At 46.7% G+C, this 12517-nt stretch overlaps 1 protein-coding gene across 4 annotated transcripts in view, besides 5 other annotated features; it reads left to right on the top strand.

Annotated features, from left to right (window-relative positions):
• The window catches only part of DENND2A (DENN domain containing 2A), a 123042-nt gene that overhangs the window by 9537 nt on the left and 100988 nt on the right, over nucleotides 1-12517 (top strand). The window lies entirely within an intron of this gene.
• Nucleotides 3410-3999: an enhancer, noted in NCBI's record as "H3K27ac-H3K4me1 hESC enhancer chr7:140327725-140328314 (GRCh37/hg19 assembly coordinates)". NCBI's record gives its function as "activates a minimal SCP1, AML or CMV promoter by ChIP-STARR-seq in primed H9 embryonic stem cells {active_cell/tissue: H9 hESC(primed)}" and the evidence as "EXISTENCE:reporter gene assay evidence [ECO:0000049][PMID:30033119]".
• Nucleotides 4000-4591: an enhancer, noted in NCBI's record as "H3K27ac-H3K4me1 hESC enhancer chr7:140327133-140327724 (GRCh37/hg19 assembly coordinates)". NCBI's record gives its function as "activates a minimal SCP1, AML or CMV promoter by ChIP-STARR-seq in primed H9 embryonic stem cells {active_cell/tissue: H9 hESC(primed)}" and the evidence as "EXISTENCE:reporter gene assay evidence [ECO:0000049][PMID:30033119]".
• Nucleotides 5182-5773: an enhancer, noted in NCBI's record as "NANOG-H3K27ac-H3K4me1 hESC enhancer chr7:140325951-140326542 (GRCh37/hg19 assembly coordinates)". NCBI's record gives its function as "activates a minimal SCP1, AML or CMV promoter by ChIP-STARR-seq in primed H9 embryonic stem cells {active_cell/tissue: H9 hESC(primed)}" and the evidence as "EXISTENCE:reporter gene assay evidence [ECO:0000049][PMID:30033119]".
• Nucleotides 6364-6955: an enhancer, noted in NCBI's record as "H3K27ac-H3K4me1 hESC enhancer chr7:140324769-140325360 (GRCh37/hg19 assembly coordinates)". NCBI's record gives its function as "activates a minimal SCP1, AML or CMV promoter by ChIP-STARR-seq in naive H9 embryonic stem cells {active_cell/tissue: H9 hESC(naive)}" and the evidence as "EXISTENCE:reporter gene assay evidence [ECO:0000049][PMID:30033119]".
• Nucleotides 7181-7475: a silencer, noted in NCBI's record as "tiled region #9531; HepG2 Repressive non-DNase unmatched - State 24:Quies". NCBI's record gives its function as "represses a minimal TATA promoter and a strong SV40 promoter by Sharpr-MPRA in HepG2 cells {active_cell/tissue: HepG2}" and the evidence as "EXISTENCE:reporter gene assay evidence [ECO:0000049][PMID:27701403]".

The following is a 12517-nucleotide window of genomic DNA, read 5'->3' as shown; positions in this document are numbered from 1 at the left end:
CTCAGCCGCAGATTTGGTCGGGGTGGTGACCGCGAAGATAGAAAGGAACTTCCCGAAGCAGCTTGCCTCGTGCTCTGGGATCTTCAGCCAGGGCAATGTCTCCAGCACCCTGGAGACTCAGAGGGATTCTCTACTTAATACTCTGAGCTGCAGATGAGATTTGTTCAGATTTGTCATGAAGTGTGTGGTCATCCAACCCCAAATATAACTCCCTGGCATCTTGTGGTGACTGTCATCTGGTTCATTTCATCATCTGTATTTGTGACAATCAACAAACATAGACAACCTTCCAGGATATCAGAAGGGGACCAGTGCCCTCTGTTTACCCTCCAGCTGACTGATGCATCTAATAGGGTGGAAAAATGTCAGAGAAGAGAGAGCTTCTTAATCCCTCTCAAAACAATCAGACTTGAAGATTCCAGCACCACAGAGAGCCAAGAGAGCCTCTTATTCCAGGCTCTTCTTTCCCTTGAATATAGGACAGCCAAGATTCCTGGTCTGGTACAGAACTGAGAGAGATGGGTAAAGGGGCTAAGAGGCTGCTTCTGGGTACACACACAACCCCGAGGTTCAGGCTGCCAATTTGTCAGAGAAAACGAGAAAGAGAATGCTCCTTTTGGGACCAAGAAAGAAGCAGAACAAATGCAAGAGTCCCACGAGGCAGATCCACATGTTCCTTCCCCACACCCCCGAAATCTGGCTTCTATTCCTATCCATCTGCTGAAACCATATCTTAGGTTACTAATGGTTCGTCTGTGGCCAGTTCCCTGTTCTCATGCTTCTTGATCTCACTAATGCACTTGACACACCCCTGACCCTTCCTTCTTGAAACACAAGTCAAGGTGGATGTAAAATGGGTGCAGTGATGAATCTGCGCCACTTGTCAAAATACTGAAATACTTCTATTCTGGTTGGTAAATAGGGTGTCCCACACTCCCAGGACCACTAACTCTCCCCCTGCCAAGATCTGGCCATTAAAGTGTTAACAATAAGGCCATTCTGCTTGTTGGGCTCCTGCACACCTTTGTTATAATTTTGTTGTGTGTTTTTGTTTTTGTTTTTTGAGACGGAGTCTCACTCTGTTGCCCAGGCTGGAGCGCAGTGGCATGATCCTGGCTAACTGCAACCTCCGCCTCCCAGGTTTAAGTGTTTCTCCTTCCTCAGCCTCCCGAGTAGCTGAAATTACAGGTGTGTGCCACCATGCCTGGCTAATTTTTTGTATTTTATTTTATTTTATTTTTAGTAGAAACAGGCTTTCACCGTGTTGGTCAGTTTGGTCTCGAACTCCTGACCTCAAATGATCCGCCCGCCTTGGCTTCCCAAAGTGCTAGGATTACAGGTGTGAGCCCAGCCTGTTATGTATTTTGAATACTGCCTCCTCAGTGTAGACGCCATACTGTTTTGGTTGTTTTAATTGTCTTTCAAAGAAGAGTTCTTCACTGCTTCCTCCTATTCTTATTCAACAAGTATTTATGCAACCCTCACAGTAGACCAAAGTCTCGGTTAGGCATTGTAGGGAATAAAAAGAAGCCAGTGCGCGTGTTCTGCCACTAGAACTCCCTGTCTAGTTGGAAGGTCCAGGTAAAGAAACATACAAAGAGCCTGGGCAACATGGTGAAACCCTGTCTTTGAGAAAAATACAAAAATTAGCCAGCCATGGTGGTACATGCCTGTGGTCCCAGCCACTCAGGAGGCTGAGGTGGGAGGATCACTTGAGCACAAGAGGTCGAGGCTGCAGTGAGCCGCGATGGTGCCACTGCACTCCAGCCAGGGTGACAGAGTGAGACCCTGTCTTAAAAAAAAAAAAGACCTGGCGCAGTGGCTCATTTGAGGTCAGGAGTTCGAGACCAGCCTGGCCAACATGGTGAAACCCCGTCTCCACTAAAAATACAAAAATTAGCCGGGCATGGTGGCAGGCACCTGTTGTAATCCCAGCTACTCGGGAGGCTGAGGCAGCAGAATTGCTTGAACCCAGGAGGTGGAGGTTGTGGTGAGCTGAGATTGCGCCACTGAACTCCAGCCTGGGCGACAGAATGAGACTCCATCTCAAAAAAAAAAAAAAAAAGAGAGAGAAAGAAACATAAAAGACACCATGTAGAGAGTGAAGTAACAAGAGCACCATAAGAGCAACCCGTGCCTCACTTGTTCACTACCTTCTCCCTCTTCACTGTCTCCCTCAGTTCATCATGCTCAGTTTCATCGCTCCCTCCCAAACTGGACCTCTGAGTTGTTCTTTATAAAGACCGTTAGCTCATTACCTCTCACTGCCTCTTGAATGTACCACTCTCACCTTAATGTGTCCAAAAGAGAACATATTATCATTACATTCTGTGGCCTCCTTATTTCCCTGGGTTAGCAAACCTTCACTCCTCTTTCTCATTTCAGAACATCCCAACATCTAGCCTGCTGCCGGGTCCGTCTTCTCCCTGGCTCCCACGTGAGTCCTGGTGCTCCTGTCCTAGCAGGCGGTCTTCATGCTGGGCAGGCTTTGCCTTGTTCTTTACTCCATGCACTGGCCTCCTCAGGAGCACTTTCCCTTCCCCAACTCTTGGAATCCAATGGAGTCTTTCTTGGCCACCAGGCGCTACCTCTTTGAAGCAGTCCCTGGCTCCCCTTTCGTTGTCCTCCTCCAAATTTCTCCAGTTTATATTTGTTTCATAACATTTGCCACCGTGTTCGAATGTATTCCTCCACCCAGTCTCTAATGGCGCTCCTGCACACCTCTGCGGTTAATTTTGAATACTGCCTTTCACCCTAGACACCATTCTGTTTTGGTTGTCCTAATTGTCTTTGAAAAAATAGATCTTCATGGATTCCTCTTGAGTTTTCTGTGAGTTTAAGGGCGTGTCAGGCATTCCCTGAACCAACCTTGTCTTTCCGTTTTGAACAATTGCAATCTTTTATTGCCATTTGGTTGATAGGGTTTATATCTTTTATCTCTAGCTTGAGGGCAGGGACCATTTTTTATACTTGTGTATTCCCAATAGCACCTCAAAGAGAACTGTCTCCAGCTTGCTGATTAATCATATTGATTAGTTTTAAACTGATCAATGCTGGCTCAGATTAACTAAATGAAATTATAGGCCAGGTGCAGTGGCTCATGCCTGTAATCCCAGCACTTTGGGAGGCCGAGGCAGGCGGATCATTTGAGGTCAGGAGTTCGAGACCAGCCTGACCAACATGGTGAAACCCCGTCTCTACTAAAAATACAAAAAAATTGGCCGGGCGTGGTGGCGCATGCCTGTAGTTCCAGCTACTAGGGAGGCTGAGGCAGGAGAATGCCTTGAACCTGGGAGGCAGAGGTTACCGTGAGCTGAGATCGCGCCACTGCACTCCAGCCTGGGTGACAGAGCAAGACTCCACCTCAAAAAAAAAAAAAAAAAAAAAGAAAGAAATTTTAGGCCAAAGGGGATTTCCCGTATCTTGAAAGTTAGCTAAATAAAAATGAGCACATTTCCAGGCATTGCACAACTTCTGAGTACAAAACACCAGGCACAGATAGGAAACAAACAGAAGTAGGGTCTCAGGTCAGGCAGAGCAAGCTGCGCTGGTCTGAGGGCGACCTCCGCCTTACTTTCACAGTTGGCACCATAGCCAGTGCAACTGAGGACTAACAGGTCACTGTGCACCCTGACTTCTGCTGCAAAGGGAAGGGGATCAGGTCACCTTCTAATTCCAAAACCAGCTTTTACAGATTATAACAGCACTTGTATGTTGGAGAGTAGTTTAGAGCTTACCCACACTTGCAAACAAATGAGGCTGTGTAAGCAGCCCTGCAGGTGAGTTGAGGACATGGTACTGTTATTACTAATTCATTAAGAATTAATGTATGCTGGCCAGGCACAGTGGCTTACACCTGTAATCCCAGCACTTTGGGAGGCCGAAGCTGTCAGATCACTTGAGGTCAAGTTCGAGACAAGCCTGGCCAACATGGTGAAACCCCATCTCTACTAAAAATACAAAAATTAGTTGGGCATGGTGGTACACGCCTGTAGTTCCAGCTACTCAGGAGGCCAAGGCAGGAAAATTGCTTGAACCACTCCAGCCTGGAGGACAAGAGTGAAACTCTGTCTTAAAAAAAAAAAAGAATTAATGTATGCTGGGCATGGTGGCTTACAGCTGTAATCCCAGCAGTTTGGGATGCTGAGGTGGGAAGATTGCATGAGCCCAGGAGTTAGAGACCAGCCCGCACAACAAATCAAAACCCTGTTTCTATGTCTCTACAAAAAAAAAAATTAGCCAGTTGTTGCAGTGCACGCCTTTGGTCCCAGCTAATTGGGAGGCTGAGGCAGGAGGACTGCTTGAGCTTGGGAGTTTGAGGCTGCAGTGAACTGTGATTGCACCACTGCAATCATCCTGGGTGACAGAGTAAGATCTCATCTCAAAAAAAAATAAATAAATAAAATTAAAAATAAAAATAGGCCGGGTGCAGTGACTCATACCTGTAATCCCAGCACTTAGGGAGGCCAAGGCAGGCAGGCAGGAGTTCGAGACCAGCCTGGCCAACATGGTGAAACCCCGTCTCTACCAAAAATACAAAAAAAATTAGCCAGGCATGGTGGTGTGCGCCTGTAGTCCCAGCTACTCGGGAGACTGAGGCACAAGAATTGCTTGAACTCTGGAGGTGGAGGTTGCAGTGAGCCAAGATTGTGCCACTGCACTCCAACCTGGGTGACAGAGCAAGAGTCCATCTCAAAAAACTAAACTAAACTAAAAATAAATAAATAAATATTTACAATAATATGTTAGAGCATTATTACTTATTAGTATTATTTGGCAGGGTTAAGTTCACCTTAGAATAATGGAAGACATTTGCTGAGCGCTTTTTCTGGGCTATGCACTGTGCTGAATGTTTTACAGGTGCAATTTCATCTAATCCTTACCAGTCTCTTAAAGTAAGTGCTACCATTATCACCATTTTACAGAGGCGAGAACTAAGGCTTAGAAATGTATCTTGATCGAGGTCCCGCAGCTCTCCAAGTTCACTGGAATTTAAACCTGGGTCTGTCTGATTCCAAACCCTTTGCTTTTAATCCTTATGATAAACCCTCTCTCAAGCTTTTTCTCAGAACCCGGGAGCAGCTGCAGGAGTAGCCTCAGCTCCATTCTCTTGTGCTGGCCCCAAGCAAGGGGATGGAAGATGACGTCTCCCTCTAAGATTGCTGCCTTTTGTCCAAATGTGCTGGCTGGGAGCCAGGCCTGGAAACTCTCTGCTCATGGAAAGAACAGAAGCCAGCAAAAGAGGGTGGGAAGAGTCTGAGGGGAGGAAAGGAAGAGGAGGACAGGAAGGCAAGAGGGAGAAAGGAGGTGGGAAAGAGGATTCTGCGGGTAGCACAGCTGGAGAGGGAGATGTGCCAGGAAGCAAGCAAACGAACGTGACCTACGGGTGCATTCCATTCAAGTGGGCTGTTCAGTGGTGCAGCGTGAGCCTCCAGCCCTGGGAGGCACAGGCCCCGAGGCTGTCCAGGTGCTCAGAGACCAGGACAGATCACACCGGGTGGTCCTTCCTCCCATTCTCAGGATTACTATCCAGTGAGGTCAGATCAAAACCAACAGCAGGAAAGCCTTCAGAGGGAAAAGAAGCCACAAAATGGCAGCCTGAGGGCTGCCTCTGGAAGTGGAGGATCTGGCCAGGCAGGGCCTCGGTGTCACAGCATGCATGGTGTGCAGGGGACGGAGAAGGGGAAGGGAGGAGACTGGGTGCTTGAATAAAATAAAATCATAACTATTTCCCAAGTTCCTAATCTGGATTGAGGAGTGGAAGGCCCGTACGGTGCCGTCAAGGTGGACCTGTAGGCGTTAGGCACCTGGACCCTGGAGTCAGACACCCTGACGCATTCAGCACCCACGCAGCCTTGGGAAAAGTTAATCCCTCCAGGCCTTAATGTCCACATCTGAGAAGGGGAGGCAATAGTAAGCTTACTGTGAACATTAAACTAAATGACCTGTGTAAAATCTTGCTTAGGGAATAGTAAGTGCTCAATTTGTATCAGCTGTTCATTCATCATTGCAGCTTAATTTGAGGTGTCAAAACATAAATATGTGAAACCTTCAATAAAAAATGTATAAATAACATTTGAAGCCAACCATACAAGACGTAACACAAGGTTATATACATTTTGTTAGAACATCAACTTTTTCTTCTTTTCTTATAAAAGAAGAAAAAGCATTCAGCAGGAGCCCATGGCTAATGTTTTTTGTTTTCGTTTTTTTGTTTGTTTTTGTTTTTTGTTTTTGTTTTTGAGGCGGAGTCTCGCTCTGTCTGGCAGGCTGGAGTGCAATGGCATGATCTCGGCTCACTGCAAACGCTGCCTCCTGCATTCAAGCAATTCTCCTGCCTCAGCATCCACAGAAGCTGAGTTTACAGGCACACGCCACCAGGTCCAGCTAATTTTTTTGTATTTTTAATAGAGACAGGGTTTCACCATGTTGGCCAGGCTAGTCTCAAACTCCTGACCTCAAGTGATCTGCCTGTCTCAGCCTCCCAAAGTGCCGGGATTACAGGCATGAGCCACAGCACCCAGACTGTTCTTTTTTTTTCTTTCTTGAAACGGAGTATCGTTCTGTCGCCCAGGCTGGAATGCAGTGGCGCGATCTCGGCTCACTGCAGCCTCTGTGTCCCGGGCTCAAGTGACTCTCCTGCCTCAGCCTCCTGAGTAGCTTGGATTACAGGCATGCACCACCACGCCCAGCTAATTTTTGTGTTTTTAGTAGAGACAGGGTTTCACCATGTTAGCCAGGCTGGTCTCCAACTCCTGACCTCAGATGATCCGCTTGCCTCGGCCTCCCAAAGTACTGGGATTACAGGCATGAGCCACCGTGCCTGGCCTCATGGCTAATGTTATCTGGTAGCTATAAGGCAAATGTGTTTTGTTTTTTGTTGTTTTTTAAAAAATCTCCAGGCTGGGCGTGGTGGTGCACGCCTGTCATTCCAGCTACTTGGGAGGCAGAAGCAGGAAGATTGCTGGACATAAGGTCGAAGCTGTATTCACATCACTGCGCTCCAGCCTTGGCAACAGAGAGAGATGCTGTCTCAAAAAGCAAAAAAAAAAAAACAAAAAAAAACAAAAAAAACAAAGAAAAACAAAATCTCTCAACAGCCTAATAATAACAAAGAACATTTCTCACTTCTAAAAAAAAAACAATCACCAGAAACACGAACTTCACAAATCTCTCTGGGTTTCTGAAGAAGTGGCTCTTCAGCTAAGAAAAAAAAAAGGAAAAGAAATGCCTTCAAGAACATGGAACGTGTAACTAGCAGATCCAGGTTCTCCTGTGACAGCTTCTCCATGGAAACCTGAGTCCCCTGAGGCAATGGAAAGGAGGGTGAGGAGGTGAATGAGCCCCAGACAGGGTAACAGGAGCCCTGGGTTCTGCTTCTACCTCTGCCACCATGTGGCCAGGTGACAGGCTAGGTGAGCCAAAACCCCCCTGGGCCACAGTGTTGTCACCTGCAGCCCTGGCGTCCCACCTGTTCCCTCCCTGTGTTGGTGTTGAGGGGCCTCTCTGTGCCAGGCGCTTTTCCAGTATCATTAAGTTTGTTGTTGTTGTTGTTGTGTTGTTGTTGTTGTTTTGCCTTTCCTCCTTGAATTTCCTCACTAGACTGGGACCTCTGAGAAGCACTGTCATTTACAGGCTGGGTTCCCAGTAACCCACTGGATCACAAGGGGAGAGCTGCTGAGGCCAGGAGGAGGATGTGGAAGGCTGGGTCAGCCAGCACAGGCGTCACTCCCAACAGGGTCCTGGGAGAAGGGGCTCAGCATTTCCTGAAGGCAGATGACTCTATAAATAGACCAGGGGATGGGAAAAGGATTCGATCATCCCATTCCTCCTGTCAGCTCAGCTCCTCCTTCTGCTCATCCGGACTCTGCAGCCTCTCGTAAATGTTTTTCACTCACATATGGCCCTGCCGGGGCGTTAGGTGTGGAAATAGGGATGTGAGATGGACTTTCTGCTAGATTGTAGATCCAAACAAGAACTGAAGAAGGTATACCTGCCATTTATTTTTAATTTCCCACAGAAATTTCTCCTTCATCCATGTCAATATAAGGCCAGAGTTTTTTCAGTAGGGTTTTATTGGAAGGAAGGAAGCAAGCGAGGAGGAAAATTATACACCTTTTGATACTGTGGCCTATTTAAATTCAAGGGTTCAGCAGATCTTCCTGTTGTGACACTTTCCATATGCTCTTTTTTTTTTTTTTTTCTAGACGGAGTCTTGCTCTGTCACCCAGGCTGTGGCATGATCTCGGCTCACTGCAACCTGTGCCTCCTGGGTGCAAGTGATTCTCCTGCCTCAGCCTCCCGAGTAGCTGGGATTACAGGCGCCCGCCACCATGCCTGGCTAATTTTTGTATTTTTAGTAGAGACGGGGTTTCACCATGTTGGCCAGGCTGGTCTCGAACTCCTGACCTCGTAATCTGCCCGCCTCGGCCTCCCAAAGTGCTGGGATTACAGGCGTGAACCACCGCACCCAGCCCTCCATACGCTCTTTAGGTCCTCAGAAAGGTTAGGTCTCCTGACTACAGCCTTACTAAGATGTTCCTAGCACCTTCAGTGTCATGACAGTCTCCTCTGGGAGGGAAAGGGACTTTTTTTTTTTTTTTTTTTTGGAGATAGAGCCTCGCTGTGTCGCCCAGGCTGGAGTGCGGTGGCATGATCTTGGCTCACTGCAACCTCTGCCTCCCGGGTTCAATCAATCCTTCTGCATCAGTCTCCCAAGTAGCTGGGATTGTAGGCACCCGCCACCACACCTGGCTAATTTTGGTTTTGCCATTTTGGCCAGACTGGTCTCGAACTCCTGAGTTCAGGTAATCTGCCCGCCTCAGCCTCCCAAAGTGCTGGGATTACAGGCGTGAGCCACCACACCCAGCCGGAGAGGGACTTCTTGAGGGCTGCTCTTGTGACCTCCATAATGCAGAGAATGATCAGTTCACACCAAACTTCCTGGGCCAGGCTAGAGGCAAACCTAATGGGGGCTTTAGTTTACTTAGCAGCCAAAGTTTACTCAGCTCCAGCCATATGGATACAGATTCGTGTTTAAAACGATCATAGGGGCCTGGCATGATGGCTCACGCCTGTAATCCCAGCACTTTGGAAGGCCAAGGCAGGCAGATCCCCTGAGTCCAGAAGTTCTAGACCAGCCTGGGCAACATAGCAAGACCCCATCTCCACATAAAAATAAGAAGAAGAAGAAGAAGAAGGAAAAAGTATTCAGTGTCCCCCTAGAGGGTTGGTGGACGGTTGGGGCTGGGACGGGGGTTGAATTGTCTCTTGGACCTGGGCATGCTTACTTCAGTACACTGGTGTTGTAAAATTCTGTGTTCTTTTATACTCATGAGCACTGAAGGCTCCTGATGGCTGGATAGCACTCATTTAAGCTGAGCCTCCGAAAGAGCATTTTAACAAGTCTGAGGAGGAGGGGCTGTGAAAACTTGGTGAATTTGGATAAAGAGTATATAAATTTTCTGTACTATTCTTGCAACGGTTCTGTAAACTTGAAATTATTTCAAAATTAATTTTTTTTTTTTTGAGATGGAGTCTTGCTCTGTCGCCCAGGCTGGAGTGCAGTGGTGCAATCTTCGCTCACTGCAACCTCCGCCTCCCAGGTTCAAGCGATTCTCTTGCCTCAGCCTCCCGAGTAGCTGAGATTACAGGCATGTGCCACCACGCCTGGCTAATTTTTGTGTTTTTAGTAGAGACGGTTTCACCATGTTGGCCAGGCTGGTCTTGAACTCCTGGCTTCAAGTGATCTGTCCATCTCAGCCTCCCAAAGACCTGGGATCACAGGCATGAGCCACCACGCCCGGCACAAAATTTAAAAATTTAAAGGTCATTATGCTTCTGGTATCATCTTGGCAACAGCTTTCAGAAAGTCTACACAAGTTGTGTTCACAGATTCTGCCTTGGTTTGTGTGTTGCTTGACCCCTACAAAGAAATCCTAAAAATCATTTGGGCGTCTCCTCCTTATGGAGCCAGTGTTGCTTTTCATTCAGTGGCTGGTGCTTCCTTAAATATTAGTCATTCTGAGATTATGCAAATATCTGTGCCTTCCAGCCACGTACCCCAAACGAAATTCAGCCCAATCTTCAAGCCCAACTCAGGGCTGCTCTTCCACAAGTGGCATTCACTTTCACCTGTTTTGCTTATCAGACTGTGTTTTGTATTGGAGACATTCATGTGCATCTTATTTCCTGTATGAGAATGGAAACTGTCAGAGGGCAAATTAATCTATTTTACATTTCTCCCAGGTTTTACTCTGTTCCCTGAGAGAAGCAGGCACAAATATTAGTTGCAAGAATGAATTACGTGACTATAACAGGCCCTTTGTATCTGTGAGTTCCGCATCCGAGGATTCAATCAACCACAGACTGAAAATACTCAGAAAAAAAACATTCCAGAACGTGTTACATTGCAGATGTGTACAATGTAGTTATGCCTAGGGTGTTTGCATTTGTACTGAACATGTACAGACTATTTTTCTCTTGTCATTATTTCTTAAACAACACAGTATAACAACTATTTACGTAGCATTTAGGTTGTATTGGGTATTATAAGTAATCTAGAAATGATTTAAAGTATGTGGAAGGGCCAGGCCTGGTGGTGGCTCACATCTGTAATCCTAGCACTTTGGGAGGCCAAGGTGGGAGGGTTGCTTGAGGCCAGGAGTTCAAGACCAGTCTGGGCAACATAGCAAGACTCTGTCTCTACAAAAAAAAAAAATTTTTTAATTAGCTGAGCCTAGTGGCTCACACGTGTAGTCCCAGCTACTCAGGAGGCTGAGGTGGGAGGATCACTTGAGCCTAGGAGGTTGAGGCTGCAGTGAGCCATGATGCCACCACTGTACTCCAGCCTGGCGACAGAGCGAGACCTTGTCTCTTGAAAAAAGTTTTTAAATTAAGTATATGGGAGGATGTACATAGGTTATATCCAAATACTATGCCATTTTTATGGGACTTGAGCATCCATGAATGTTGATATCTGAGTGACATCCTGGAACCAATCCCCCGAGGATACCAAGGGATGACTGTATTTCCCTTTAGCCATTGGTTTCCACATAATCGCTCTTTGGACCCATTGAAACATCTGTACTGGGATGTGGTTACTGCAGAACAGGATCTAAATCTTGGTCATCTCTAAGGGAAAGGAGCTAATGAGAATAAAGTATCACTTAGCCTTCCCTTCAGGAGATATGATGGCAAAGCAAAACCGGTGCGGAGTGATGAACTCACCTGAGCTGGATGCCCTGCAGCTGTGGTCGTGGCTGCAAGGCAGCTGTGGGACTTGCTGGGCACCGCAGGGCAGACCCAGACACCCACAGACAACAGCAGCGTTTATATTCCCCCTCTCCCCTGCTGTATTTGCAATAGCAATTATAATATATGCTTATAATAGAAAATTTGGAAATCTGGTGGGGGGGTGGTTGTTGTTAGAAATATAGATGTCAGAGAATGGAAAAAAAAAATCAAAGTCTCTTACCCAATGGCAACTACTGTTACTCCCTCATTAAATTTACTTCCAGTCATTTTCTTTTGTGTGCAGTTTTGAATAGTAATAAATTCCTCCTCCCCCCCCCCACCCCTTTTAAACATTGTTTCATTCATTTTGGACACAAGGTTTTGGATTCTGTTTCTTTTGGCTAACATTACAACAGGAACGTTTTTTCCATTTAATAATAGTCTTCTTTTTTCTTTCTAGCTTCAGTTTAAAATTTTCTTTTTTTATTTTTTTGAGACAGAGTCTTACTCTGTCGCTCAGGCTGGAGTGCAGTGTCGCAATCTTGGCTCCATGCAACCTCCGCCTCCTGGGTTCAAGCGATTCTCCTGCCTCAGCCTCCTGAGTAGTTGGGACTACAGGCGCCCGCCACCATGCCCGCCTAATTTTTTTGGTATTTTTAGTAGAGACGGGGTTTCACTATGTCGGCCAGGCTGGTTTTGAACTCCTGACCTCAGGTGATCCACCAGCCTTGGCCTTCCAAAGTGCTGGGGTTACAGGCGTGAGTCACTGCACCCAGCCTAAAATTTTCTTTTTAAATAATAGCTTGATTGAGATATAATTCACATGCCATACAATTCACCCATTTAAAGTGTATAGTTTAGTGTGTACACATTTAAAATGTACAGTTTTGGCTGGGTGCAGTGGCTCACACCTGTAATCCCAGCACTTTGGGAGGCCGAGGCAGGCAGATCACTTGAGGTCAGGAGTTCAAGAGCAGCCTGGCCAACATGGCGAAACCCCATCTCTACTAAAAATACAAAAATTAGCTGGGCATGGTGGTGCACGCTTGCAATCCCAGCTAGTTGGGAGGCTGAGGCAGGAGAATCTCTCGAACCCAGGAGGCGGAGGTTGCAGTGAGCTGAGATTGCACCACTGCACTCCAGCCTGGGCAACAGAGTGAGTGAGACTCCATCTCAAAAAAAAAAAAAGTGCAGAGTTTTTAGTGTATTTGTGGAGTTGTGCAACCCATCACCACCATCAATTTTAGAACACTTTCATCACCCTGGAAAGAAATGCAAACCT

The sequence above is a fragment of the Homo sapiens genome, chromosome 7, assembly GCF_000001405.40.
Source record: "Homo sapiens chromosome 7, GRCh38.p14 Primary Assembly".
Lineage (NCBI taxonomy): Eukaryota > Metazoa > Chordata > Mammalia > Primates > Hominidae > Homo > Homo sapiens.
This window is presented reverse-complemented; position numbering and strand designations above follow the sequence as displayed.